Here is a 26,982-nt window from a genome sequence, read left to right on the forward strand (position 1 = left end):
AGTTTTTAGACAGATTAAAGAAATTAAGAAAAAGTCTTATGAACTCAGGTATTTACTATCGTGTTGCTCCTTATTCCTTAGTGCAGATCCATTTTTCTTTTCTTTTTTATTTGAGACAGGGTCTCACTGTGTCACCTGTGGTTGAATGCAATGGCGTGATCTCAACTCACTGCAGCCTCCACCTTCTGGGCTCAACTGATCCTCCCACCTCAGCCTGTAAAGGGATATTTGCAAAGGGATATCGGAGTTGTTGAAGGTATTTGCAATATGTTGAAGTCATATTTGTTTTTTTTTTTTTTTTTTTTTTTTTTTTGAGATGGAGTCTTGCTCTGTTGTCCAGGTTAGAGTGCAGTGGCGTGATCTTGGCTCACTGCAACCCATACCTCCTGGGTTCAAGCAATTCTCCTGCCTCAGCCTCCTGAATAGCTGGGACTACAGGCATGCGCCACCACACCCAGCTAATTTTTGTATTTTTGCTAGAGATGGGGTTTTGCCATGTTGGCCAGGCTGGTCTTGAACTCCTGACCTCAAGTGATCCATCTGCCTTGGCCTCCCAAAGTGCTGGGATCACAGGCATGAGCCACCGCGCTGGGCCTGAAGTCGTATTTGTAAATCCTAATTTTTGTATTTTTTTTTGTAGAGACAAGGTCTCACCATGTCGGTCAGGCTGGCCTCACACTCCTGGGCTTAAGCAATCCTGCTGCCTCAGCATCCCAAAGTGCTGGGATTACAGGTGTGAGCCGCTGTGCCCAGCCTGTTTTTCATCTAGTATTTTCCTTCTGCCTGAAGGAAACTTCTTTGACATTTCTTGTAATGGCAGCTCTGCTGGTGATTAATTCTTTCAGCTTTTATTTGAAAGAGTCTGTATTAAAATATATATATATTTTCACTAGGTATAGAATTTGAGGCTGACAGGTTTTTTTTTTTTTAATTTTTTCAGTACTTTAAAGATGTTAATTTTCTTATGGTTTGCCTACTTTCTGATGAGAAGTTGGCTGCTGCTCCTTTTTTTTTTTTTTTTTTTTTGAGACAGAGTCTTGCTCTGTCGCCCAGGCTGGGGTGCAGTGGCGTGATTTCGGCTCACTGCAACCTCCACCTCCCGGGTTCAAGCAATTCTCCTGCCTCAGCCTCCCGAGTAGCTGGGATTACAGGCACCTACCACCATGTCTGGCTAATTTTAGTAGGGATGGGGTTTCACCATCTTGGTCAGGCTGATCTCGGACTTCTGACCTCGTGATCCACCCGCCTCAGCCTTCCAAAGTGTTGGGATTATAGGCGTGAGCCACGGCGCCTGGCCTGCTGCCACTCTTATATTTGTTCTTCTGGATGGAATGTCTCTTTTTTTTCTGGTTGCTGGGAACATGGGCTATTCCCACCCCTATGTGAGCTCCAGCTGCTTGGTCTATTGGTTTCACCCTTCATATATGAAGGTTAGTACTTGTCCAAAGACTCCAGGAGACTCTTCAGCTCTCAGGAGCTTGCTCTGTGCAGCTTCCTCCTCTCGTCCTCTTCTGCCTTCAGTTCTGCCTTGGTCTTTTTTGTTTGTTTGTTTGTTTTTTGAGACAGAGCCTTGCTCTTTCGCCCAGGGCAGAGTGCAGTGGTGTAATCTTTGCTCACTGCAACCTCCGCCTCCCTGGTTCAAGCAATTCTCCTGCCTCAGCCTCCCGAGTAGTTGGGATTACAGGGGTGCAACACCACGCCCGGCTAATTTTTGTATTTTTAGTAGAGACAGGGTTTCACCATGTTGGCCAGGCTGGTCTCGAACTCTTGATCTCAGGTGATCTGCCCGCCTTGGCCTCCCAAAGTGCTGGGATTACAAGCGTGAGCCACCGCGCCCGGCCTGCCTTGGTCTTCCTGAACTCTGACTTCTGTCTCTTCAACTCCTGGAGACTACTAGACTCTGGAGTCTCTCTTTACCTTTTGGCCCAGAAACTGCTTCTGGGTAGTAGTAACCTGGTGCATTTGTTGTGCTTACCTGTTTCCCTTTTCCCAAACACTGCCTGTTGTCCTATGTCTGAAAGCAGTAGTTGTTTCATGTACTTTTCATGATTTCCTAGTTGTTGTTTTTTTTTTAAATTTATTATTTTATTTTATTTTATTTTTTTATTTTATTATTGTTATACTTTAAGTTTTAGGGTACATGCGCACAATATGTGGGTTAGTTACATATGTATACATGTGACATGCTGGTGTGCTGCACCCATTAACTCGTCATTTAGCATTAGGTATATCTCCTAATGCTATCCCTCCCCCGTCCCCTCCCCCCACAACAGTCCCCAGAGTGTGATGTTCCCCTTCCTGTGTCCATGTGTTCTCATTGTTCAATTCCCATCTATGAGTGAGAATATGCGGTGTTTGGTTTTTTGTTCTTGCGATAGTTTACTGAGAATGATGATTTCCAATTTCATCCATGTCCCTACAAAGGACATGAACTCATCATTTTTTATGGCTGCATAGTATTCCATGGTGTATATGTGCCACATTTTCTTAATCCAGTCTATCATTGTTGGACATTTGGGTTGGTTCCAAGTCTTTGCTATTGTGAATAGTGCCGCAGTAAACATACGTGTGCATGTGTCTTTATAGCAGCATGATTTATAGTCCTTTGGGTATATACCCAGTAATGGGATGGCTGGGTCAAATGGTATTTCTAGTTCTAGATCCCTGAGGAATCGCCACACTGACTTCCACAATGGTTGAACTAGTTTACAGTCCCACCAACAGTGTAAAAGTGTTCCTATTTCTCCACATCCTCTCCAGCACCTGTTGTTTCCTGACTTTTTAATGACTGCCATTCTAACTGGTGTGAGATGGTATCTCATTGTGGTTTTGATTTGCATTTCTCTGATGGCCAGTGATGATGAGCATTTTTTCATGTGTTTTTTGGCTGCATAAATGTCTTCTTTTGAGAAGTGTCTGTTCATGTCCTTCGCCCACTTTTTGATGGGGTTGTTTTTTTCTTGTAAATTTGTTTGAGTTCTTTGTAGATTCTGGATATTAGCCCTTTGTCAGATGAGTAGGTTGTGAAAATTTTCTCCCATTTTGTAGGTTGCCTGTTCACTCTGATGGTAGTTTCTTTTGCTGTGCAGAAGCTCTTTAGTTTAATTAGATCCCATTTGTCAATTCTGGCTTTTGTTGCCATTGCTTTTGGTGTTTTAGACATGAAGTCCTTGCCCATGCCTATGTCCTGAATGGTAATGCCTAGGTTTTCTTCTAGGGTTTTTATGGTTTTAGGTCTAACGTTTAAGTCTTTAATCCATCTTGAATTAATTTCCTAGTTGTCTATAGTGTGAGGGAAATTCTTATTTATTATTAAAGAGACAGGCTCTTGCTGTGTTGCCCAGGCTGATCTCAAACTCCTGGGCTCAAGAGATCCTCCTCCCTCAACCTTCCAAAGTGCTGGCCACTGCGCCCAGCCAGGGAAATTTTTTTTTTTTTAGACAGAGTCTCACTCTCTTGCCCAGGCTGGAGTGCAGTGGTGCAATCTCGGCTCACTGCAACCTCCACCTCCTGGGCTCAAGCGATTCTTGTGCCTCAGCCTCCTGAGTAGCTGGCACTACAGAGGCACACACCACTGCACCTAATTTTTGTATTTTTAGTAGAGATGGGGTTTTGCCATGTTGGCAGGCTGGTCTTGAATTTCTGGGCTCAAACATTCCGCCCGTCTTGGCCTTTCGAAGTGTGGGATTACAGTTGTGAGCCACCATGTTGGCTGGGAAATTCTTACAATCGTTAATCCTTTATATGCAGAAGTGGAAGGTCTCCCCTTAGTGTTTCTGGGCTCACTTGTAAATGGAAGCCTGTGAATCTTCTAGTTTTGGGAGTTGTTTTCACAGTGGCTTGCTGAGTTTTGCACTCAGAATGGATGAGTATTTGATGGCAATTTTTGGGGTCTCTGGCTTATAGCACCATAAAAACTCCCTTTTCTTCACCCTGCTGATCTCTCAGAGGTATTGTGTCTATGAAGGCTTTGGCCTGCTCCATGTTCTAGGGTCTGTGGGTTTCTTTTGCTGTCCCAGTTGCTTTGTTTTTGCAAAAGGATTAAAAACATATGGCTGCTAGCGCCATCTGGCCCTAACCAGAGCTCTATGCCTTTTAAATTTCCCTTACTTTTATCTCATTTGGGCTTGACAACTGCCCGGCAAGTTTTACAGATAGTATTTCTATTTGACTAGGCTATTTTGTGGTAATAAATTTTGGGGTCTCCTCTTACCCAGGAATGGTTAATGTGTTGCCACTCTAAGTATAAACAACTATTATGGTGCCAACTTCATAATTATCTTAACCAATCCTTGGTGGTGGGAGTTAAAATAGAGCACACAGTCAGGGACCCATTAACCTACCACCAACCCAGAGTGACACGGGACTAGTTCCTTCTCGGTATTTTCTTGGCGACAGCAGCTGGCACCATAGGAAGCCCAGGCCCAGGCTTGAGGAGCACAGAGCGTATCAGGGAGGCAGACGTGGATATGGTTCAAGGATTCACTGTAGAACTCGACACTCAGTAGTGCACGTGAAGGTGCCTTCCTGGGCTTTGCTTTTCTGAGTAAGGGAAGGAAGGAAGCAGCTGTTTTCATGTTGGTCTCAGAAGGCTTGGGCTTTGTGGACTGACTGGAGGCTGACTGGGCCAGGCCATGGCCTCTCTGTCCTCACCTTTAACCAAAGCAGTTTCACTTTCTTCTATGTTACATAGTATGATCAAAGATTTTTTTTTTTTTTTAAAGGGGATTTTGCTGCTGAAAAAGGAGGGAAGGACAAGAAGTAGGCAGACTAGGGGGCCTGAGGCAAGTGGGCTGACCTTTTATCTGAATCTATTCATACAAAGGTTTGGTGTGAGAAACATCCTTGTATTACAGCTGAGGAGAGCCCCCCAGCTCCCACCCTGATTCTACAGTGGGGAGTAACTGTTGAGATGGGCCAGGCCCTGACGCTGGCTTTACGTTTGCACAGTCCTGGGCAGGGCTTCTACCTTCTGAGCGCTTCCTCATCAGTGAACTGGGTACACCCACACGGGGTTCTCGTGTTGCTTAAATTAGCGAATGTGTGAAAGATCCAGTGTAGGGTCTGGCTCACCGCAGGCTCACTGATGGCTATGGCGATTGTCAGGGTCACAGGGCCTCCGCTGAAAGGTGATACCTGGTTCAGGGTCAGTTAGGTCTCCCATCATGGGGCCCTCCTTTTCCTGACAGGGTCAATAAACTAAATGAATCGTGCCCACTTTCTGGGCCAGCATCTTAACTATTGGTGTTTGGTTAATACCACGTTGCACCTGCGTGGCATTTTGTAGGTCACCAGATGCACTAGCGTGTTTGAATCTTGCAGCCATCCTGTAGGGCAGACTGTATTAGTCCCATTCTGCAGAACAGGATGTGTACCGAGAGGGTAAGTAGCAGACCCAGGGCTACAGTCCTTGTCACCAAAGGCTGAGTCCAGTGCTCTGTATGGTGCTTTCAGTATAAACTGAATCAGAGATGCTCATGCAGTGACAAGCCACCTTTGTGCGTGGGGTTAAGCCAGGCCATCACAGCCGTGGCCTTTGTGAATAGTTTGTTCTAGTGCGTGGACCGACAAGAGTCAAACTGAGCTGGTGGGGTGGGGTGGTTAGGATAACGCAGCAGGAATTATAAGCAATATGACTTTATTTAGTTCCTTTGGAAACAAAACCCCCCAAATAATGCCTGAACCCAAAGGTACATAAAAATGACCCAAAATAGATTTGAACATCACTTGTAGTTTCTTCCTCGTAACATGAGTGCTTTCAGCTGGACAGTAGATTACAAAGCATCTCCGATCACGTTAAGGCAGATGATCAATCTGTGGCTGCATCTGTAACTCCTCCTGGGAAAATAATCCTGTTGGAGTTGGGGGCTCTTCCCAGTTGTCTGGTTAGTTGGCCCAGGAAGGGGCAGTCCTGGAGCTGGCGGGTGGGGAGCCAGGCCCCACCTGTCTTGTCACTGCTCGTTCTGCTGGCCCTCTGTCACTGATGCTGATACGGAGCCCTGGCCCTTGTTGACATCACTGATGCACACCCACTGCCCATCAACTGACTCCTTCCACAGGGTCACCTGCGAGTCAGTGCACAAGCAGATTATCACGGGTCTGTGCCCTTCCCTCTGCTGTCCCCTAAATATGAGCCTCATCCTCATCAAGAACCACTGCCCAGAGGCTTGTGGGTGAACAGAGCATGTCCCTCCTCCACTGAAATCTCACCAAAATGAGAGTCCAGGAATAAAAACTCACAGAAAAAAAGGAGTAACAATAACAGCAGCTGTGGATGATGATGTCAACACAGGATACTGTTTTCAGCAAACTGTGACAGAGCTACAGCGAGAGGATATGGGGTGGCGGGGAGCAGGGTTCGCAAAGTGTGGTCCCCAGACCAGAGCAGAGCATCGGTCACCTGGGAGCTTGCTACAACTGCAGATTCTTGGGGCCTGGAACAACTGATTAGGAAGCTCTGGGGGTGGGGCTGGCAATCTGTTTTAACAGGTTTAACAACACTGCAGTTTGAAAACTACTGTGGTAGAGGAAGGTAACAGTTCAATATGTTGTTTCTACACTGAAGTAAACTGTATAAGAAATAGCTAAGAGCTGAAAAGGTTTGCCCCTGGAGAGAAAATTAGGAGGCTGCATTAAAAAAAATCAGTCTAGGTCGGGCATGGTGGCTCACGCCTGTAATCTCAGCACTTTGGGAGGCTGAGATGGGTGGATCACCTGAGGCCAGGAGTTCGCGACCAGCCTGAACTGGTGAAACCCCATCTCATCTCTACTAAAAATACACACAAAAAAACTAGCAGCCACCTGTAATCTCCCAGCTACTGGGGAGGCTGAGGCAGGAGAATCGCTTGAACCCAGGAGGCGGAGGTTGCAGTGAGCCGAGACTGCGCCACTGCACTCCAGCCTGGACGACAGAGCGAGACTCGATCTCAAAAAACAAAACAAAAAACAAAAACAATCTAAACCTATGTACATATATTAGTTTGATTAAAAATGAAAATAACGATTTTGATTTTAAGAACTCTTGCTTTAGGGACAAACTATTCACTCAACACACTGCAGAATGCTCTGGGATTGAAAACATACTAAGTCCTTTAGGTAAGGGTGCTATGGAGACAGCGAAAGGAAACAGGCTTGTAAAGAAGAGCAAGAAGCCTAAATGCACAGTGACGGGCCCCACAACACTGCGTGCACAGCCAGGCACTTGCTTACAGCCTTGTAAAAAAGTCACTGGGGGCCTGCTTGAGGCAATCTGGGTCCCTTGGTCTGCCCTGAGTGCCATCAACCTGGGTTCTGGTCCTGACTCTGGCACTCACTAGAAATATGGCTTTGAGAGGGGGCCTGCTAGATCTTTCTGGGACCACTGTAGATGAAAGGGACCCTCGGCCAGAAAAGCCGCCTGCAGAGGCTCTCAAGATCTGCACACCCATGTTCACAGCCACACTATTCGCAATAGCTAAGAGGTGGCAGCAGCCCAGGTGCCCTTTGGTGGAGGAATAAGTGTAGAAACAGGGTGTGGGCTGTCTATACAATGCAACACTACTTAGCTTTACAAAGGAAGGAATTCTGACACATGCTACGTACAGCATGGAGGAACCTTAAGGGCATACTGCTAGTGACATAGTCGCAAAAGGACAAATACTGTATGATTCCACTTAGATAGGTCGCTAGAGCAGTCACATTCACATAGACAGAAAGGAGAAGGGTGGCTGCCAGGGCTGGGGAGGGGCAATGGGGAAGGGAGTTATTTAATGGGTACAGAGTTTCAATTTTGCAGCTGAAAAGAGTTCTGGAGACCAGCTGCTTCTCTGCCTTGCCTGTGTTGGTTGTGCCGTGAGCCACACAAATGAAAGGTAAGACATGGAGCCAAAGTGGCCACTGGGAAACAGTAAAAGACCAACATAGGCAAGGGAGAGAAGCAGCAAGGGCTGGCAGGATCCAGACCAACTCGCACTTCAGGCGCAGAGCAGATGTGCCTGAAAACGCAGCACAGCCACTCCACGTGGAACTGACCCTGCGGCGTTAGAGATCCTCTGTCTTATAGGGGAATTCAGCTGGGCAGATGGCTATGGCTTGTTACTGCTTCCTTTCTGCGGGTAGCTTTTTTCCTTCTAATTGTAAAATACACGTCACATAAAATGACCTTGGCCACTTTTAACTGCACAGTCCAGTTGTGTGAAGTACATTTGGGTCCCTGAGCAGCTGGTCTCCAGAACTCTTTCAGCTGCAAAATGCAAACTCTTCCAGTGCACCCACTGTGTACCTGCCTCTTACCAGCATAACAAGTATTCATAAACTCTAAAGGTTTTTAAAAAGCCTTTTCAGTGTTATGGACAAAAAATATCCCCAATCTTCTTCTGTTTATGGGTTCTTATACACTTGCCTTTTTGGCACAGCTAACTGAACATCACCATGAGGTGACCAAATGCTTAGTAGGGTGATGGGCCTGACTGGCTCTGCCACCTCATAGTTTTGGGACCCCCATGCAAGTCAAATCGCCTCTGTCAGCTTCTTTCCTCATCTGTGAAAGGGGGACGTGTTAATACTACCTCAGGGGCTGTGACATTAATGATGTAACTAAGAGGCACACTCAAAACGCAGTCCTGGCTAAGGCTCCTGCCCAGCCTGCAGTCAGATGGGAATGTCAAGTGCCCTCTCTAGTGGGCGGGGTGAAGACCAACAGGCTGTGTCCACCATGCCACGGGGAATGGGTATGTACCTTATTGTCTCCACCAGAGACAGCCAGGATGTTGGCTGTGATGGACCAGCTCACATGCCACACCACATCGTTGAACTTGTGCAACAATTTAGGGGACCACGTATTGCTTGAGGCATCATCACAGGTCCAAATGAACACACGACCATCCTAGGAAGAAACAGGATAGAGTCAGGAGGTGGAGTCAAGACTCCTGCGTTTGTGATGTGATGTCCTCCCAGTCTAGAGCCACCCGGCACCTCTCTGCAGGAACAGGGTGGGGGATTCAAAGGGGAGCCGAGGACCTCTGGGGCGTCCACAGCTTTGTTTCTGTCTCTTCACACTGGTTAAGAGTCTCCCGGATTCCTTTTCTCATCCGGGTTTCGGAGGTGGACTCTGTCTGCATTGCTAACTCAGATTTTCTCTGGGGTTTTCCTCATGCCTGCCAAGTCACTTCCACTGGCCGTCTATACCTTCTCAACTGAATGGGCAGAGCTCTCCAAAAACCAAGCTCCAAGAATGAGAAGGCACAAGTAAAAAAGCACAAAAATCCCAAGTTTAGAACCAAACCAAACAGGTTCCCATGATGTGAAAGGCCTAGCTGGCTCCCTCTAGGGTGGTGGTGTATAACTGAAGGCTCACCCTTGGCCGTCCTTGCTGTCTGGGAAGGGTGGCTTGGTAGCTAAGCGTATAATTCCCATCCAACCCCATCGTTGCTTGGGAACACTTGGAACTGCACCTGGGCACCTCGGCGCCCTAGTCTCACATGGGTCAGAAGGGAAAATTCATCCCGAATCCGCCTCCTTCTTGGTGCCGGTTCTGTTGTAGCTGTCTCATCTCAGTGGAGGCAGGCCACTTGTGGCTTCTGACCAAGACTTCCCCACACAATGACCTGACTCCCTGTGCTCTGGGCCAAAGGTGCCTGTTGCTCTCCCTTTACCTTCCCAGAGGACTTTCTGCTAAGGAGACTAAGAGCTGATGGGCCTGACTCGAGACTAAATGACAAGGGATACTCATGGCCCTGGGCTGACCTGGGAGCAGCTGGCGATGGTGCTGGTGGGCAGGCCGATGGAGGGGGCCCAGGCCACATCTCGAACCCAGTCACTGTGCGCTTCTAGCTTCTGCTCCTCCTTCCACTGGCCGTCCTCCTCCTCCCTAACAGTGGGGACAGAAAGAGAATCAGCAGGGGGCCGTTCCCACACCTCAACTCCTCCCCAACCCAACAGGCTCTGCCTGGGGTGGAGAAGCGATTCCATCTTTCTTCTTTCATTCATGGAGTTTGTGGCATTTTATTCCCTTCACCCCAGCTGTAAAAAAAACCCTCCAGAAAATGCTCTGCTTCCACAGCCAAAGAGTCAGCTCCAACAGTTGGGAATTAGGTGAACAGGTGTTGTGTTGTTTTTCAAGGATGTCCTCCAACAGATTGAAAACAGTATTTTACTGGCAGGAGGGAGAAAGAAAGGTGACCTTGTTTCTTGTGAGTGTGGCTGAGTCATGGTGAGTAGGGTAAAGGGTAGAAGTGTCCCCTCAAAGAGAAGGCCACACATCCCTACTTACTTCCACAGCTTGATGAGGTTGTCACAGCCACCTGATGCAAACCTCTTGATGTAATTGGGTTTCTGCCCCGATGGGTGGTCTATGAGGCTTCCAGGTACAACAGCAGGGGCCCAGCTGACGGCATTGCAGCCAATCTGTAAAGATGGGACACATGGTGACTCTGCCTTGCAAGAGAACACTGCTTCTGCAGACCCAAGCCTGCTGTCCCTCTCCCCTCCGCTTCTCAGGACTGGAGTGTGTGTGAAGGCTGACATGAAGCACTCATCATGGGGTCCACTGCTCAGAATTCTCCCTCAAGGATCCCAACAGTGTGTGCATTTTTCTGCAGTGTGCGCTAAAAGTAGAAATTAAGAACTCCCACAAGTTTAAGAAACAGGACATTTTCTAAACACATGAAAGAATGGTACATTGGAGCTTTTTTTTAAGAAAAATCTTTTATTATAAAGTAATAGATCAAGAAACAAGAATTCTGCCACCTGCCTGAAAAGCCCTGTCATTATGCCCTTCCTAATCACAGCTCCCTCTTCCACTATAAGTAACCACTGCCCTAACTTCTAACCCATTTTCCCCCCATTTTATCACCCAAATGTGCACCCCTAGATACTATAGTTTAGTCTTGTCCATTAAACATTTTTTTGGATGTTTTTTACATCTCCTACTTTGCAGATTCCTCCTCTGATTTTTTTCCTTACAATTTTTCTGCTGAAGAGAGCCTAGTCTCTCGGTCTGGGTTTTGCTGCTTCATATGCAGTTCAATATGTTCCTCTGAATTCCTGAAAACTGTCAGCTGGAGCCAAGACTGGACAGACTCAGGTGTGATCCCTTTGGCAAGACTAGAGCTGGTGCGTTCTCTCATCAGGAGGCACGTTAGATTGTCTCTTATATTAACAGCTGTCAATAACTCAGGCCTCTCTTAATTCACTGGGGCTTGTAAAATGGTGATACTCTAATTCCATCCTTTCTTTGTCATTTATTCCATGGAATGCTCCAGATAGGGACACTTCTTCTCATTAACTATTCAGTTACCCAGGGATAGAGGTCTGATATGGTTTGGCTGTGTCCCTACTCAAATCTCATCTTGAATTCCCACGTGTTGTGGGAGGGACCTGGTAGGAGGTAATTGTATCACAGGGGCAAGTCTTTCCCATGCTGTTCTCATGATAGTGAATAAGTCTCGCTAGATCTGACGATTTTAAAAATGGGAGTTTTTCTGCACAAGCTCTCTCTTTTGCCTGCTGCCATCCACGTAAGCTGTGACTTGTTCCTCCTTGCCTTCTGCCATGACTGTGAGGTTTCCCCAGCTACGTGGAACTGTGAGTTCTCCATCCTCTTTCCTTTGTAAATTGCTCAGTCTTGGGTATGTCTTTGCCAGCAGCGAGAAAACAGACTAATACAAGGTCAAAAAGGAAAGGCTGGATAAACGCTTGATTCTTTCTGAACTGGTTCTATCACTTTCCAAAGATGACTGATTCTCCTCTTTATTTATTATTAACAATTTTTTTTTTTAAAAATTGAGACAGGGTCTCACTGTCACCCAGGCTAGAGTGCAGGCTGGTAAGATCATGGTTCACTGCAGCCTCAAACTTCGTAGGCTCAAGTGATCCTCCCACCTCAGACTCCCAAAGTACTGGGATTATAGGTGTGAGCCACTGCCTTTTTTTTTTTTTTGAGACAGAGTCTGGCTCTGTTGCCCAGGATGGAGTGCAGAGGCGCGATTTTGACTCACTGCAACCTCCACCTCCCAGGTTCAAGTGATTCTCCTGCCTCAGCCTCCCGTGTAGCTGGGACTGCAGGTGTGTGCCACCACGCCTGGCTAATTTTTGTATTTTTAGTAGCGTCGGGGTGTGTTAGTCCATTTTCACGCTGCTGATAAAGACATACCTGAGACTGGGCAGTTTACAAAAAAAAGAGAGGTTTAATGGACTTACAGCTCCATGTAGCTGGGGAGGCCTCACAATCATGGCAGAAGGCAAGGGAGGAGCAAGTGACATCTCACATGGATGGCAGCAAAAAGGGAGAGAGAGCCTGTGCAGGTGAACTCCCCTTCATAAAACCATCAGATCTTGTGAGACTTATTCACTATCAAGAGAACAGCATGGAAAAGACCTCCTCCCATGACTCAACTCCCACTGGTTACCCCCTACAACACATGGGCATTCAAAATGAGATTTGGGTGGGGACACAGCCAAACCACATCATGGGGCTTTGCCATGTTGGCCAGGCTGGTCTTGAACTCCTGAGCTCAGGTGATCCGCCTGCCTCAGCCTCCCAAAGTGCTGGGATTACAGGTGTGAGCCACTGTGCCTGCCCTGGGCCCAGCCTTTTAACCCTCATTTCGTCTTAGTTCTCTACAAGTAACTATATATTTATGCTGAAGTCTTTGTAGTCATTTTAGTTGTGTGACTTGTATCCTCTAGTAGATTTCTCAGGAAGGGCTCCTAGAAACAATAGTCCCTGAATTCTTGCATATTGATAATAGTTCATATCCTTTACACTCAAAAGCTAATTTTAAAAACAGCTTTGATATAGTATAATTGACATAAACTGCATATCAAGTGCATGATTTGGTGAATTTTGACAAAAATATATCCTGTAGGATCATCACATCACCTCAATCAAGATAAGGAACATGCCCATCATTCCCAAAAGTTTCCTCGGATCCCCTGGTAATCCATCTCCCCATCCTGCAGCCCCCAATCGTGGTGACCATGGGCCTGCTCAGCTGCATTTCCTAGATATTACAGCAGTGGAATCACAGTGTGTCCTTTTTCTTCTTTTTTTCACTCAGCATAATTATTTTGAAATTTATTCTTCATCTTATTTTGTTAAGTCATTTCTTTTTATTGCAGTCATTTCTTTTTATTGCTCGCAGTATTTCCAAAGTATGGATATATCACAACTTATCATTTACCTGTTGATGGACATGTGGACTATTTCCAGTTTTTGGCTATTAAAGCTGCTATAACCTTTTGTGTATAAGTCTTTGTGTGAACTTCAAAGTCAATTTTCCTGGTTATAAATCCTTGGCTCACACTTTCTTTCCTGGAGTATTTTAAACATGTTATTCTTTTTTCTTCTGCACCAATCCTTACTATTGAAGAGTCTGACAATAATCTAATTGTCTTTCCCCTTTAAGTCACAAGGTTCCTTTTCTCTAGAACCCCCCAAAATTTTCTTTAAAGTCTAATAATTTTACTAGAATTATATCTTTTTGTTGGTGATGCTGAGTTGAATTTTTTTTTTTTTTTTTTTTTTTAGAGACGGGGTCTCACTATGTTGGCCAGGTTGGTCTTGAACTCCTGGCCTCAAACAGGAGTTCACCTCGATCTCCCAAAGTGCTAGGATTACAGGCTGAGCCATCACGCCTGGCCTTGATTTTTTTTTTTTTTTTTTTTTTTGAGACAAGTCTTGCTTTGTCGCCCAGGCTGGATTATAATGGCGTGATCTTGGCTCTCTGCAACCTCTGACTCCCGGGTTCAAGCAATTCTCTTGCCTCAGCCTTCCGAGTAGCTGAGATTACAGGTGTGCGCCACCACGTCTGGCTAATTTTTGTATTTTTAGTAGAGACGGGGTTTCGCCATGTTGGTCAGGCTGGTCTTAAACTCCTGACTTCAGGTGATCCGCCCACCTCAGCATCCCAAAGTGCTGGGATTACAGGCTGAGCCACTGCGCCCGGCTGATATTGTTAAGTGTGGGGTATGATCTCTCAATCTCAAGTTTCAAATCTTTGTTTTTTAATTTTAAGAAAGTTTTCTGGATTACTTTTTGGTATTCTGTTTTCCTTTCCAGGGACTCCTGGTATTCGTATGTCTGACCTTTCTGCCTGTCTTTACTTTTGGTCAAAACCTTTTTACCTCTTCATTTTTTTGCTCTTGAAATGTTTCCTTTTTCACACTGTTTATCCTTTTCAGGCAGGATCTGCTGTGTTCATCGACACTTGCATTTCGTCTTAGTCTTTCTTTACTTCTGAAATGATTTTTAATTCTAATTCTTTCCTGAGTTCTGTCACCTTATTTCTGATTTTTAAAAAGTTGATTTACACTATTCTCTCTTGTTTTGTATTGTTAGAATGTCACCTGGCTTGATTTGAAATAGCAGGTTACAGCTTGGCTCGGTTATGTGGGCATGTCTTTCTAATGTGCTCTCATTGTCCGCAGGGAGGTTATTTTGCATATTCTTGTTTCTTATATAACAACTGTATGCAATTTCACTTCAAATACTTTTCTGTTATTTTTAGGTGAGATGAGTTTTCCTGATAAGAAAGGCTCAGGAAAGTCTAAGCTCAGAACTCTCCCTTGTTTCTGTGTGGTGTTAAAAAACGTGGGAGATGGCTTTCAGGAGTTCCTGTCTTTGTTCCTCTTCCCCACATTGGTCTACATCTCATCCTTCCTTTCCTGTGTCCCTATCCAGCTCAACTGTGATTTCATTTCCTGCAGTTCTTCCTCCTGAGGGGCCCTGTCCCAGAGGCTTGCTCTGGAGGATCACAGAGCTCAGATTTCTTCCCGCCCCTTCAGCCTTTCTTATTGTGGGCCGCTTCCACTCACTCGGTGTTACAGAGTGCAAACCCCTCCTGGTCATTTCTCCAAAGGCCCCCAGAAGATGCTCACCATCATCTTTGATTAGCAAAATGCAAATAAAAATCACAATAAGGGCCGGGTGTGGTGGCTTACACCTGTAATCCCAGCACTTTGGGAGGCTGAGGTGGGCGGATCACTTGAGGCCAGGAGTTTGAGACCAACCTGGGCAAAATGGTGAAACCCTGTCTCTACTACAAATACAAAAATTAGCCGGGTGTTGTGGCGTGTGCCTGTAATTCCAGCTGCTCAAGAGGCTGAGGCATGAGAATTGCTTGAACCTGGGAGGCGGGGGTTGCAGTGAGCCGAGATCATGTCACTGCACTCCAGCCTGGGTGACAGAGCAAGCCTCCGTCTCAAAAAAACAGAACAAAACAAACCCAAAAAATCACAATAAGATACCACCTCACATTCACTAGGACAGCTGTAACCAAAATGACAGACATATGTTAGTGAGGATGTGGAGAAATTAGAACCCTCATACACTGCTGATGGGAATGTAAAAGGGTACAGTTACTTTGCAAAACAGTTTAGCAATTCCTCAAAAAGTTAAACACAGAATTACCATATGACTCAGCAATTTCACACCTAGGTATAGACCCAAGAGAATTAAAAACATATGTTCATGCAAAAACTTATCTGCAAATGTTCATAGCAGCATTATTCATAAGGCCGAGAACATCCATCATCTGATGAATGGATAAACAAAATGTCTATATTCACAATGGAGTATTATCCAGCCATAAAAAGGAATGGAGTGCTGATACACGCTATGATATGGATGAAACTTGAACTCATTATAGTAAGTAGGAGAAGCCAGTCACAAAAGACCACAGATTGTCTCATTCTATGTACAACTGATCCTCAATTTCATTTCATTATAATGCTGACAAGATTAAAAAAAAAAAAACAACTCCCAGCGGGGGCCCCTGCCTGTGTGGAGTCTGTGTGTTCTCCCTGTGTCTGCGTGGGCTCTCTCCTGGTACTCTGGTTTCCTTTCACACAATAAAGATGTGCATGTTCACTTCAATGGTACGTCTGCATTGTCCCAGTGTGAGTGTGGGGGTGTGTGTGAGTGCTCCTCTGGTGGAATGGTATCCTGTCCAGGGCTGGCTTCTGCCTCATGCCCTAAGCTGCCAGGACAGGCTCCAACCACCTGTGACCCTGAACTGGAATGAGTAGATTAGAAAAAGAATAGATACAAATTATTGTAGAATTAAACTCATAAAATATCCAATAATCATACAGATGCATGACAGCAAACGATGTGGCATTAGTCATATGAGCCCCCCACATTGGTTATTGTTGGTTTTTGAACTGTGTGGTGGTAGGAGGTAGGACATTGATGTTCGCTTTGCAAACATTTATTCCTTGATTGAACCACCAACATCACGACCACTGTCACTCGCTGATTCACCAAAAGTTGGGTAAAGAATGACCTTGTTTATATTAATCTTTCTTAAATGTATGCATAGCTCACATACTTTTTAAAAGTTTTAATAACACCACTCCATTCTACAGGGTCCCAATGACTACTGCAGGGCATGTCACCTGGAGGCAACCATAGCTAAGGTGGCAGTGAGCAGGCTGCTGCTGCACCAGCCCTCCCCTGCTTGGGAGCACACAACAAGGAAGCAGTGCCAAGCCCTGCCTGGTCTGGCTTCAGGGCAGAGAGGCTCAAAGCTGCTCTAGAGCAATCATGTCTGGTCAGCTGACCACTCCCCGGCCCACTGTCCAGCGGGGACCCTCCCGTGCCACCCTCTAGGGAGGCTGCAGCAGACACGGGGCAAGGCAGGCGCTCTCACTGCACGAAAGGCAGGGGATGGACTCACGGTGTGAGCGTTGTTGATCTTCTTTACTTCCCATTGGCCTTCCCCGGTGTAAGTCAGCAGGGAGATGGCCCCATCCGAGCTCCCACAGGCCAGGATCAGGCCGTAGTCATGGGGGGCCCAGCACACCGAGTTCACTGCGGGAAGAGGGAGAGTGCAGTGAGCAAAGCAGGGAGACCGCGGCCCCAGGTCCCGCCTTCCACAGATTTACTGTTTTACTAAATGTCTACAACAAACAACTGTAGGAGTCACCGGGGGAAGCTGTAACTTGGTCAACTGAGGACACAAAAAAACCCCATCACCTACTAATACCACGATTTCATAACCTACAGTCTATCTAACAAAAAAGTGGGTAGGAAAACAATCTGAGAATGAAGGGTAGTCCTTGCAATGAATAATCCTGAAGAGAAACTCACCTGTCTTTTCTTATTTGCTTTGGACTGGCTTTAGGTCTTAGGGCCTTACTCAGCTGAGGACAGAGTAGCAGAAAAGCCAACCAAAGCTCAAGAGACAGACAAGAGGCACCACGAGGGGCAGGGAGCCAGGGCTCCAGCCGGGACAGAGTCCTTTTTTACCCAGTGGTCCCCTTGCCCGCTCTGCTGCCAAGCTCAGCATACCTGAGGAGTCGTGTCCCGCATGCTCGTGGCTCTTCTCCCAGGTGCCGTTTTCCTCTCTCCAGATAATGACTTTCCGGTCATAGGAGCACGATGCCAGGATGTTGCCGTACATGGGGTGAGCCCAGGCCACTTGCCACACAGGACCCTCATGACTACAAAGGGAGAGATAGGCCAGAGGAACCCACAGTGCCTCTGCAGGCACTACTTTGGACAGAACTAAATGGCTCCCTGAGACGATATATCAGGGCAGAATTGCTTAAGAACTTCAAAGGGAGAACTATACAATGCCATTGCAAAAGGGGTGCTCAGTGGACAGTGAGGAGCCTGAGGTCCTAAGAGGTTAAGCAACCTAAGGTCACAGAGCCTTTGAGAGAGAGTTGAGCCTCTGGGTCAGCCTTCCTGTCCTGGCCAGGCAGGAGCCTCACTTGCCCAGACTGCAGCCAGCACTGTCTGTATGTGCTGTCTACAGCATAGTCATTAATTGGTCCAAGGTTTCCAGCCAGAAGTGTTCAGGAAATATTTGTAGACTGAATTGCTATTCATCCTTCCCGACGGTCAGCTTCCTGAGGAGGCATTATTGGTTTCATTTTGATGTTTTCCACTACTCTTTTAATTTGTTCGAAAGGCATGTCTTTCCCTTCTCTTCTGATCTTTATCCATTCACCTGATAACAGGTGCTATCTGAGCACATGCTCTGTGCCAGGCTTTGTACGGTGACCATTTCTCTGGCCCAGGGAAGGTTTTGCACCTTAGCACTCAAGAGGTAGAGTAGCATGGTAGAGTTAGTGGTTAGGAGACCAGACCCATTCTCCCATTCACTAGCTCTTGACTTTAGGCAAGGATATCTTTGTCTCTTTACCTGAAAATGGAGACATCAATAAGAATTCTTTCATAAAGTTTGGAACAATGCTTGGTAGAAGGAAAGAAAAAAGCCACTCAATACCCATTAGCTATTAGTGCTGCTCCTGGTTTACTCCTTCACCGTGGGCTGCACACACTCAAGTCTCCTCCTCCCTCTGGCTGGGACAACAGGACATTCCCAGTCCCTACAAAGCTGCTGCTAATGAAACTGAGTAGACTCAATCTTCCAACAACTAGCACAGTTTTTACTAAGGGGAAAAAAGAATGGGGTGGGAATTTTTTTTATCCCTCCAATATTTCACATCCTTTGAATGTAAGAAAAACAGCAGAAAGGACAGAGTCACAGCAAACATAACTGCCTTGGCCAACACGCTGCACTGCAGCAGCTCTCTGCCTGCCTGGGGGGCTCCTGCATAGAGAAGCTTGATTTGGCTCCTCAGTCACTTGATCATTTGACACTCAGACAGAGGGGAGCTTCTAGGCCCATTTCCCCAAATGGACACTGACTTAGTTTATGCTTTTTAATTCAGTGAACAAACACATGCTGAGCACCCACCTGTCATGGCTCTTAATCTTTTCTGTGCATTCTGGGGAAGGTTATGGACCCTCATCAGACTAATGTACAAAACACACAGAACTAGGCTTATAAAGAAAATTCAATTATAAATTATACAGTAATCAACTTTTTTTTTTTGAGAAGGGTTTCACCCTGTCATCCAGGCTGCAGTGCAGTGGCACCATCGTGGCTCACTGCAGCCTCAAACTCCTAGGCTCAGGCCATCCTCCCACCTCAGCCTCCCAAAGTGTTAAGGATTACAGGCGTGAGCCACCTTGCCCAGCCTGTTATCAAAATATTATAAAGCAATTTATGAGATAGTGATGCATGTACTTCTTTGTTAACACTTCAAGCAACAAACCCTAGCGGCAGGTCTAATAACCACTGTAATTTCAAAGTTGTGATGAGCATAAGTGGTATTTTGAGGTAGCTAAGTAACCGTGATGTGTGATGACAATATCTGTGAATTCTACTGGTGACAAAGTGACAGGCACTACAAATACTACTGAAGTTTCTGGCCTACATCCATAATTGAAGGAAATGCTAAATATCAGAGTCACTGAAAATGCATTTTTTTCCCCCTGTCCCAATTCATCAACCCCTGAACTCTATTCACAGAACCCTTGGAGATCCACGGCACCCAGGCAAACCCACAAATACGTGAAAGGCAGTGAGCTGAGGGAAAGCAGTAGAGATGTGGCCATAAAAATGAGCCAGGACTTCCTCAAGAATCTCAGTAGGGAGCAGGGCAGGTCAAACATTTGTAAATAATCACTGAACACGTGCCACGGGCATATAGGCAGAACAATGGGATTTATAAAATGATAGCATTCTTACATTATTCTTACGGTGATGCTTTTGTGACACTTTAGGTCATACTGGCTAAACTTGAACGAAATGGTACTGTTTACCACTTTTAAAAGTAGCAGTAGCTGCCTGCACTAAAGACTTACTGTGTCCTGGGCCCTGTGTCAGGGCCTTGCATACACTAGCTGGATAGGAGGTAGCATTGGCCCAATTTTGAGGATGAGCAGATGAAGGCTCTGAGAGAGAAACTGAGTCACTTGCCCAAGGTCTTCTGGTGGGTACACATAAAGTGGCAGAGCTGAGATTCACACCTGTATCCACCTGTGCCCTTAACAGCATCATCCCTGGGGACGTCCGCTGAGGACAGCCAGGCTGGCTGGGATCCCAGCGTCCTCTCCGCTAAATGTGCTTTGGGGTTGCTCTGAATCTGGGCTCCCATGCTTTGCTCCCACGCTTGAAGCAGGGCCTGAGAACCCACACCATTCCTGGAGCCCTTCCCTGGGCTCGCCAGCACTTACCCCCTGAGGTCGGCGATAAGGATCTGCCCTCCATTGCGCACATCAAAGATTTTGACGGACCTGTCTGATGAGCAGGTTGCCAGGCGGGTGCCATAGTAGTCCATCTGGGCGTCGTGCTGCAAAGGGAGGACAGCTCGGGAAGCCTGCAGGCTGGGTGGGTGGGTGGGTGGGGTGAGGGCTGTCACTACACAGAGTCTAGTTTGGACCAGAATCTCCCTGAAATCAATCTGATCTCAAAGTATCATCACCCTCAGGCAGGAAGCTAGCATGTGGACATTCTCACTTCACCTATGGGCAGTGTCTCTCTGAAATGGACAAAGCAAGCCATGCCCAGCTGGTGTCACAGACCCTTTACATACCTCAGGGAAGGGCTCTTCCATTCCTGTTCCGCAGGGTGGGTATGGGAGAAAAAAAGTTGGCCTAGCTGCCCTCTTCTTCCTCCATCCTCTCAGGCCCTATTCAGTTCTTAGGCTCTGTGGGCTAAAGGGGAATACCCCTGGGTTCAGCTCAGCCCTAGCACCTGATGCTAATGCATGGGAGCAGGCCAAAGGAGTGGGCCTCTGACTGCCTGGAGTCCCCAGTCAGGTCTTCTGTGATGCAGCTCTGGCCTGCACACAGGGTTCCATTCAGATATTTGGGCTCTTTCCAGCCCTGGCCCTGGATCCTTTGTGGACCTTTGTTTTGGGGCTTCTGCTCGACCTTTTCCCTAGTAGTGTGCCCAGAGCTTCCCAGACTTTCCACCCAAGGAACACAATGCCTTAAGTGTCGCTGCTCTCACCACTTGTGAACCGAATTCCTTGATGCTGACTGAGCATGCAGAACTAGGCCTGGCCCCTACCTGCAGATCCTTGTCCGCAGGGTGATGGTCTCTGAGGCACCATGCCTCCTGCACCACTGAACACCCTGGTCCCTTCTGCTTGCTGGCCCTGCCTATTCCAATGGATGTCCCTTTCCCCAGCTGTCCCACCCTGGGAGTTTCAGGACTATCAGCTGCACTCCCATGGCCACCAGGGGCAATTATGCCCATTCAAAGGCACTCATTCTGTCTGGCTCAGATGGGAATTCTCACCTCCCTACGCAAGGAACACATCCTGATTTTTCTTTGGGAACTCCCTCCACTGTATCAGGCCTTGGTTTCTTGGAGGGCAGGCAGTAGAGGAGTGTTTCTGAAGCACTTCTCATGCTTCTCAGTGGAAGGAGGCAGGACATAGTACCTTTCAGATCTAAATCCTATCTCCTTAGTTTACCTGCTGTGCAAACTTTGAAAACACTTCATCTCCTTGAGCTTCAGTTTCCTTATCTTTATTATTTACCAACATCCTATGGGCCTTAGTTCCCTTATCTTTAAATAAGGCTAAAGATAGCATCTGTCTCAACAGTTGTTATGAAGGTTAAACAAGATATTGAATGAAAACTCACGCCTGTAATCCCAGCACTTTGGGAAGCTGAGGCGGGCGGATCACCTGAGGTCGGGAGTTCGAGACTAGCCTGACCAACATGGAGAAAACTTGCCTCTACTAAAAATACAAAATTAGCTGGGAGTGGTGGCGCACGCCTGTAATCCCAGCTACTCGGGAGTCTGGGGCAGGAGAATTACTTGAACCCGGGAGGCGTAGGTTGCGGTGAGCTGAGATCACGCCACTGCATGCCAGCCTGGGCTACAAGAGCGAAACTCCATCTCAAAAAAAAAAAAAAAAAAAAAGAAAAGTACTTAGCATGGGGCCTGACACTCAGTGAGCATGCAAATGTTTGTCATTACTACTTGGCCTCATCTAGTTCTCAAACCAAACTCATACGAGTAGGTAGCATATCCATTATTTTTCCCGTAAGTAAATTGAGGCTGGCTCAGAAAAGTTAAGATATTGGCTAGGGAGTCTCAGACTGGGTCTTCCTGCCCATGATTCCATGCTATCTCCAAGGAGGTGTGGTCTTACAGCTAGACCACTCATGACTGAATCCAGAGAACATATACAACTCTGGGACCAGACAACCTCTCAGAAACCCAAAAGCAACTGTTGGTGGACAGGTTGTGAGGGCAAGAACCCTGACATGAAACACTGTCAGCCAGCTGTCCTGGGTCTTGCTCAAAGGCTGCTTGGCCCTGAATGAAGCAGAGTCTGTGTTTTTCCTGCGGTAGACTTTAACCTCTGGACCTTCTCCTGCAGCCCTGTCCTCTTATACTGAGCCTTGTGTTTACCTCTCAGGAAATGCCCTGAGTGTGGACTTCTGGTTCAAAGGGCCTTGTCTGGCCTATTGTCTTGGTGGTTTGACTGGGCTCTGCCTGGGGCTTTCACTGTGGCTGCCCTCTGCCTTTGTATTGAGTCATCTTTCTACACTCTCTTCTTTTCACCCCCCTTTCCAGTGGGGCTAAGAAGTGACAGCAGGAGGAAGACAGGTGGGAAGACTATTGTCAAGCCTCCGTACCCACTCAGCCTTCATCCGAGAGCAGGTTATTGTATTGGCTGGAAGACTGACAGCCTAGAACTACAAATTATTCCCAGGTTCCTCCCAGCAGAGAGTGATTAGACTGCCACAGTCCTGACAACTCAGAGGGCACTGCTAGGGAGCCTGCCATACCCCGAGATTACAGGCTGATAGGCAACCACTGCAAAGCCACCCTGGATCCATGAATGATCAACAGAAAGGGGTAATGAAAACCCCAAATTGCTTCCCTCCCACAAAAATGCCCATGTCCACACCCCTCCAGGGAGGGTGATATTAATACTTACAATCATGTCCTCATGGGAGGTATCCACAGTGTTAATTACTGACACCTAGAACCAAAGATATCACTGGTAAATTAACTCATGGCAGTTAGAATACAACCATCTCAAGTTCTTGACTGCATTTGTTTGTTCACTCACTCATTCATTCATTCATTCAGTAAGCATTCATTCTAAGTACCTTCTTTCTGCCAAGCACTGTGCTAGGAACTGGATATACAGACACAAATAAGAGGAACTTTTTGCCCTTGAGAAGCTCGCGAATAATGCTAGTGTCGCAAGATAAATTATTTAATGGTGGTTTGTGTGTCCTGTAGGAGCCTGAGGGGCTGGGGTGGTAGACACGAATTGAGCCCTAGATGATGGGTAGGAATTTGCAGGTGGCACAGGGGAAAATACCAGTCCAAGCAGCCAAGCAGAGGGAATACACGAGTAGAGACAAAGAGGTCTGAGAGAGCCTGATGTGTGTGGGGAAACGGCAAGCAGTCCTGGCTACCCTTAAGGTTGAGGAGAGACCCCAAGGGAGCTACAGCTGGTGTTCCTTTCCTGGATGACAGAGCCTCTGATGTTCCAGGCAGTTTATGCATAACGGGGTTATTACTTCAGACTGGGAGACTTGATTCGAGTGTTTCCTGAGGCTGCTCCCTGGTCCGTCACGTAGTGGGATCCAGAGTTGAACAGTTTGTAGGGCTGGAACATGGTGTCATGGTCATCTCCCTCCTATCTATTCTTTGAGGTCCAGCTCAAAAAGGGCCATCCATCACCTTTCTTGAAGATTCTCAGACCCTCAAATGGCTGGACTCTCTTGCATATCTTCAGCAAGGAACACATACAACACTTTATGCTGTTTCTTCTCCCCACTAGAAGGTGAGCTCCTTGGAGCCATGGTCTGAGCCATCTGCAGTTTCAAATCCCCTCAAATCATCCAGCACAGTGCTTTGCAAATAGAAGGAACTCAGCGACTATTTGCTGAATGAATAAGTAAATGAACAAAAGCTGTTATTTTTTTTCTTTGCTCAACCACTCTTCTCTTAAATTCTTGGGATAGAAAAGAGGACTTAAAAGAAGTTTCAGTGTGGAACAGACATTTCTTACCATTTTCCCCATTTCATCTTTTCCAGCACAAGCCCTGTAGGTATAAAGTTTGACTTGTGATTTCAGAAAGGCAGACAGTGGAAGAGGATGGCTGCAAAGCAGTTCAAGAGGTACACACCAAGTAAGCACAGGTTCTCTCATCAGATTCTAGACTCTCTAAAAACCAGGTCCCCGAAGTCTGCAAAGGCAAGTAAGGACAATAAGGAGTTTCCTCCATGTGCCGAGCTGTATAGGTTACAAAGTGCACAGGAAGGCGGGGAGGGCAGGGTACCAAGGGCACAGTCAATCAGAGACCTGCGACAGACTAAGGAAATGAAGAAGCCCAGAGAAGAGAAAGCACTTGCCAAAGTCACAGAGCTAGTTCAAGGCAGACCTGGGAAAAGAGCCCCATCCCCTAACCTTCTAATGCTGAGTCCACAAAACTTCACTCCACCAGGCTGCCTGTCTAGAATGTAAAGCAGTTGTTACACTGAGTTCTGTAAAGCTGCGGTTAAGTAGGTTCACGAAGAAAGTTTACTGAGAGGTAGTTTCAACCAGGTTACCAAAGGACCTTAGAAATAATCAGCATTTAATTCTAACCACTCTCACCCACCAGTCAGGGTTGATGAACCACACTTCTGAATGAGAGAGAGAGAGAGAGAGAGAGAGAGAGAGAGAAGGCGGGGGGGGGGGGGGGGGAGGAAAGAGGGAGGGGGAGAGAAAAGGACGGAAGGAAGGAGGAAGGGCGGGAGAGAAAGGGAGAGGGAGAGGAAGGGGGGAGGAAGAGGGAGCGGGGAGAGAGAGAGAGAAGAGAGGGAGGGGGAGAGAGAGAAAGGGAGAGGGAGAGGAAGGGGGGAGGGAGAGGGAGTGGGGAGAGAGGGAGGGTGGGGAGAGAGAGAGAGAGAGAGAGAACTTCTTAGAGTACTTCTTCCCAGGGACCTGGTATTATCTGGTCCCTGTTAACACCTGCACTCAAAATAATTCACCTCTTTGAGATCAGATAATGAGTTAAAAATTCATTTAGGATGAGCTGAATGTCAGAGCATAAAAGCCTCAACTCTAACCTGCAGTGGAAGAGCCAGAGGTGAGTGATTTACACCTAACCCTCTGCAGAACAAGAACACAGTGTTCTGATTTCTAGGTTCCTGCAGGTTCCCTCAAACCTGCTGCTGAGACACACCCATGTTTCTAAAAGAATGCATGTACTAGATATTCCAGGCTCAGCCCAGATACTTCCATTCTTTAGTTCTCCTTCAGTCATTCATTCACTCAAGGAGTAAGTGTGGAGTGAATGTACACTGCAGATGCCACAGAGACTTAAAAAACCCTGAGCCCCTGCCTTCGGAGGGTCGTTCAGGCCATCTTTACGTTTCCCGAGGTGCCCATCCTACCTGGGGGCCCTACCCCGAGCAACAGTTCAATCATCTCTGCTGGGAGCTGCAGTAGGCGGCAGAAAGGAATGGTTAGGAGGGTTCAAATCTCGGCTCTACTACCACTTAAGCAGCTGTGCAAGAGGCTCCACGTCTCCGAACCTCAAGTGTCCTCATCTGTAAAGTGTTGAGAAGAATAGCACCTTCTTCACAAGGCTGTTAGCAGGCGGAGATTACGAACAATGCTGAGGGCTCGGTATACAGTAGCTCCTCTGCTGTTCCTCGTTTTGTTTTCAATTGTTGACCGAAAAGAAGGAAGGGAGACTGGCAGGAGACGCAGGAGCGGCGCGCCCCGCAAAGTCAGGGAGGTTCCTCGGCCTCACCTCTGGACTCCCCTCGGAATGGTCCGCAAGGACGGGGCCAGAGCCCCCCAAATCTCTAAGCGGTGGAGGGGAGCTGAACGGCTCCAGCTTGGGATTTGGGACTCAGGACGGCCGAGGAACCCGTGAAGGCCGCGACCGTGGCCTTCACCCTGCTAGGCCTCCTCAGTACCAACACTCACCATGATTGCGGCGGTGGCTGCTCCAGGTCTCGGACGTGGCAGCTCCCGGCGGCGCCTCGGAACAGCTCACTTCCGGCGCCGGGCCCGACGGGCCGTGGCGTAGGAGCCTCCGGGCAGCAACGCGCTCGGCTCGCACAGCAGTTCCGCGCCTTCCAGAGGGCGCGCCCCGCCCTCCCGTGGCCCAGCCCCTATCCTCCAGTGACGTGCGAGACCAGAGGGCTGGGGCTCTGGTTGCCGCAGTTACCCTGACCCGGAGGGCTTTGGAATCTGAAGCTCTGGTGGGTCTACTCTCCCGACCAAGTCTGCCCTTTTCCTGAGATCCATAAATGAAAGAAAGGATTAATATAACTATCGGCCGGGCGCGGTGGCTCATGCCTGTAATCCCAGAACTTTGGGAGGCTGAGCTGGGGGGTGGATCACCTGAGGTCAGGAGTTCGAGACCAGCCTGGCCAACATGGTGAAACCCCGTCTCTACCAAAAATACAAAAATTAGCCGGGCATAGTGGCGCGCGCCTGTAGTCCCAGCTACAGGCTGAGGCAGGAGAATCGCTGGAACCCGGGAGGTGGAGGTTACAGTGAGCCGTGACTGCACCATTGCACTCCAGCCTGGGCAACAGAGAGACACTCTTGTAAAAAAGAAAAAAATCTATCTATCTATCTATCTATCTATCTATCTATCTATCTATCTATCTATCATCTATCTATCTGCAGCTTCACCCGCCTCACTACGGCTCTGGGTGCGACTGGTCTTATGATGAATGTTGTAGGATGAGTGACATCTTAGGAGTAAGTAGACTGTCCTAGTGCTTCCTTGTTGTAGTCTCCCTCTCAGTACCCAAGGACTGGGACCAGGGCAGAGGAGGCCAGGGAATGCCCCTCGCCAGAGGCTGGGACCTCTGGCCCTGCCATCCCTAACCCCTATATAGGACTGCCCCTTCCAAACCGATCCCCTGGGGTCCTGAGTAAGTCCCATCAAGGAGACCCCCCTAGGCAATGAAGGATCTCAGCCAGGCTCCTGCAGCTAGAGCCCCAGACCTAATCCTCAGGGTCCCCAACCCCAGGTCTCTGGCTTCACAAGGTAGGGCAGCTGAAGGCTCCCCACAAGCGCAGTGAGAATGCCACACTGGAGGACAGAGCCTGGGCTCCCCGCCTCAGCCACATATGGTCTAGCCCTGGGCCCCTTGTGACATTAAGGAGGCAGATGAGCTGGGGGAGGCCTTGGCTCCCCTTGGGCAAGTCACA

General features: G+C 47.6%; 1 protein-coding gene across 19 annotated transcripts, besides 4 other annotated features; it reads right to left on the minus strand.

Moving 5' to 3' along the window:
- On the minus strand, positions 5,622-25,803 carry SEC13 (SEC13 homolog, nuclear pore and COPII component). Of its 19 annotated transcripts, none has more exons than XM_047448691.1 (12): positions 25,741-25,803; positions 25,302-25,355; positions 23,948-24,007; positions 23,830-23,863; positions 22,741-22,785; positions 20,012-20,127; positions 17,270-17,421; positions 16,656-16,789; positions 10,250-10,383; positions 9,724-9,847; positions 8,717-8,863; positions 5,622-6,065 (listed from the first exon to the last, which is right to left on the minus strand). In XM_047448691.1, exons 3-12 carry the CDS (start codon positions 23,968-23,970, stop codon positions 5,952-5,954), a joined length of 1,023 nt encoding a protein of 340 aa, XP_047304647.1. In that variant the 5' UTR covers positions 23,971-24,007; positions 25,302-25,355; positions 25,741-25,803; the 3' UTR covers positions 5,622-5,951. The 19 variants fall into 19 exon arrangements, with proteins under 19 accessions (XP_047304647.1, XP_016862509.2, XP_047304646.1 ...); XM_017007020.3 differs by having other exon boundaries at positions 5,622-5,838; positions 25,200-25,355; XM_047448690.1 differs by having other exon boundaries at positions 25,200-25,355.
- Positions 25,469-25,768: an enhancer, noted in NCBI's record as "active region_19424". NCBI's record gives its function as "activates an Ori minimal core promoter by ATAC-STARR-seq in GM12878 lymphoblastoid cells {active_cell/tissue: GM12878}" and the evidence as "EXISTENCE:reporter gene assay evidence [ECO:0000049][PMID:35858748]".
- Positions 25,469-26,111: a biological region, named in NCBI's record as "H3K27ac hESC enhancer GRCh37_chr3:10362509-10363104".
- Positions 25,516-26,111: an enhancer, noted in NCBI's record as "H3K27ac hESC enhancer chr3:10362509-10363104 (GRCh37/hg19 assembly coordinates)". NCBI's record gives its function as "activates a minimal SCP1, AML or CMV promoter by ChIP-STARR-seq in primed H9 embryonic stem cells {active_cell/tissue: H9 hESC(primed)}" and the evidence as "EXISTENCE:reporter gene assay evidence [ECO:0000049][PMID:30033119]".
- Positions 25,959-26,038: a silencer, noted in NCBI's record as "silent region_14060". NCBI's record gives its function as "represses an Ori minimal core promoter by ATAC-STARR-seq in GM12878 lymphoblastoid cells {active_cell/tissue: GM12878}" and the evidence as "EXISTENCE:reporter gene assay evidence [ECO:0000049][PMID:35858748]".

The sequence above is a fragment of the Homo sapiens genome, chromosome 3, assembly GCF_000001405.40.
Source record: "Homo sapiens chromosome 3, GRCh38.p14 Primary Assembly".
Classification (NCBI taxonomy): domain Eukaryota; kingdom Metazoa; phylum Chordata; class Mammalia; order Primates; family Hominidae; genus Homo; species Homo sapiens.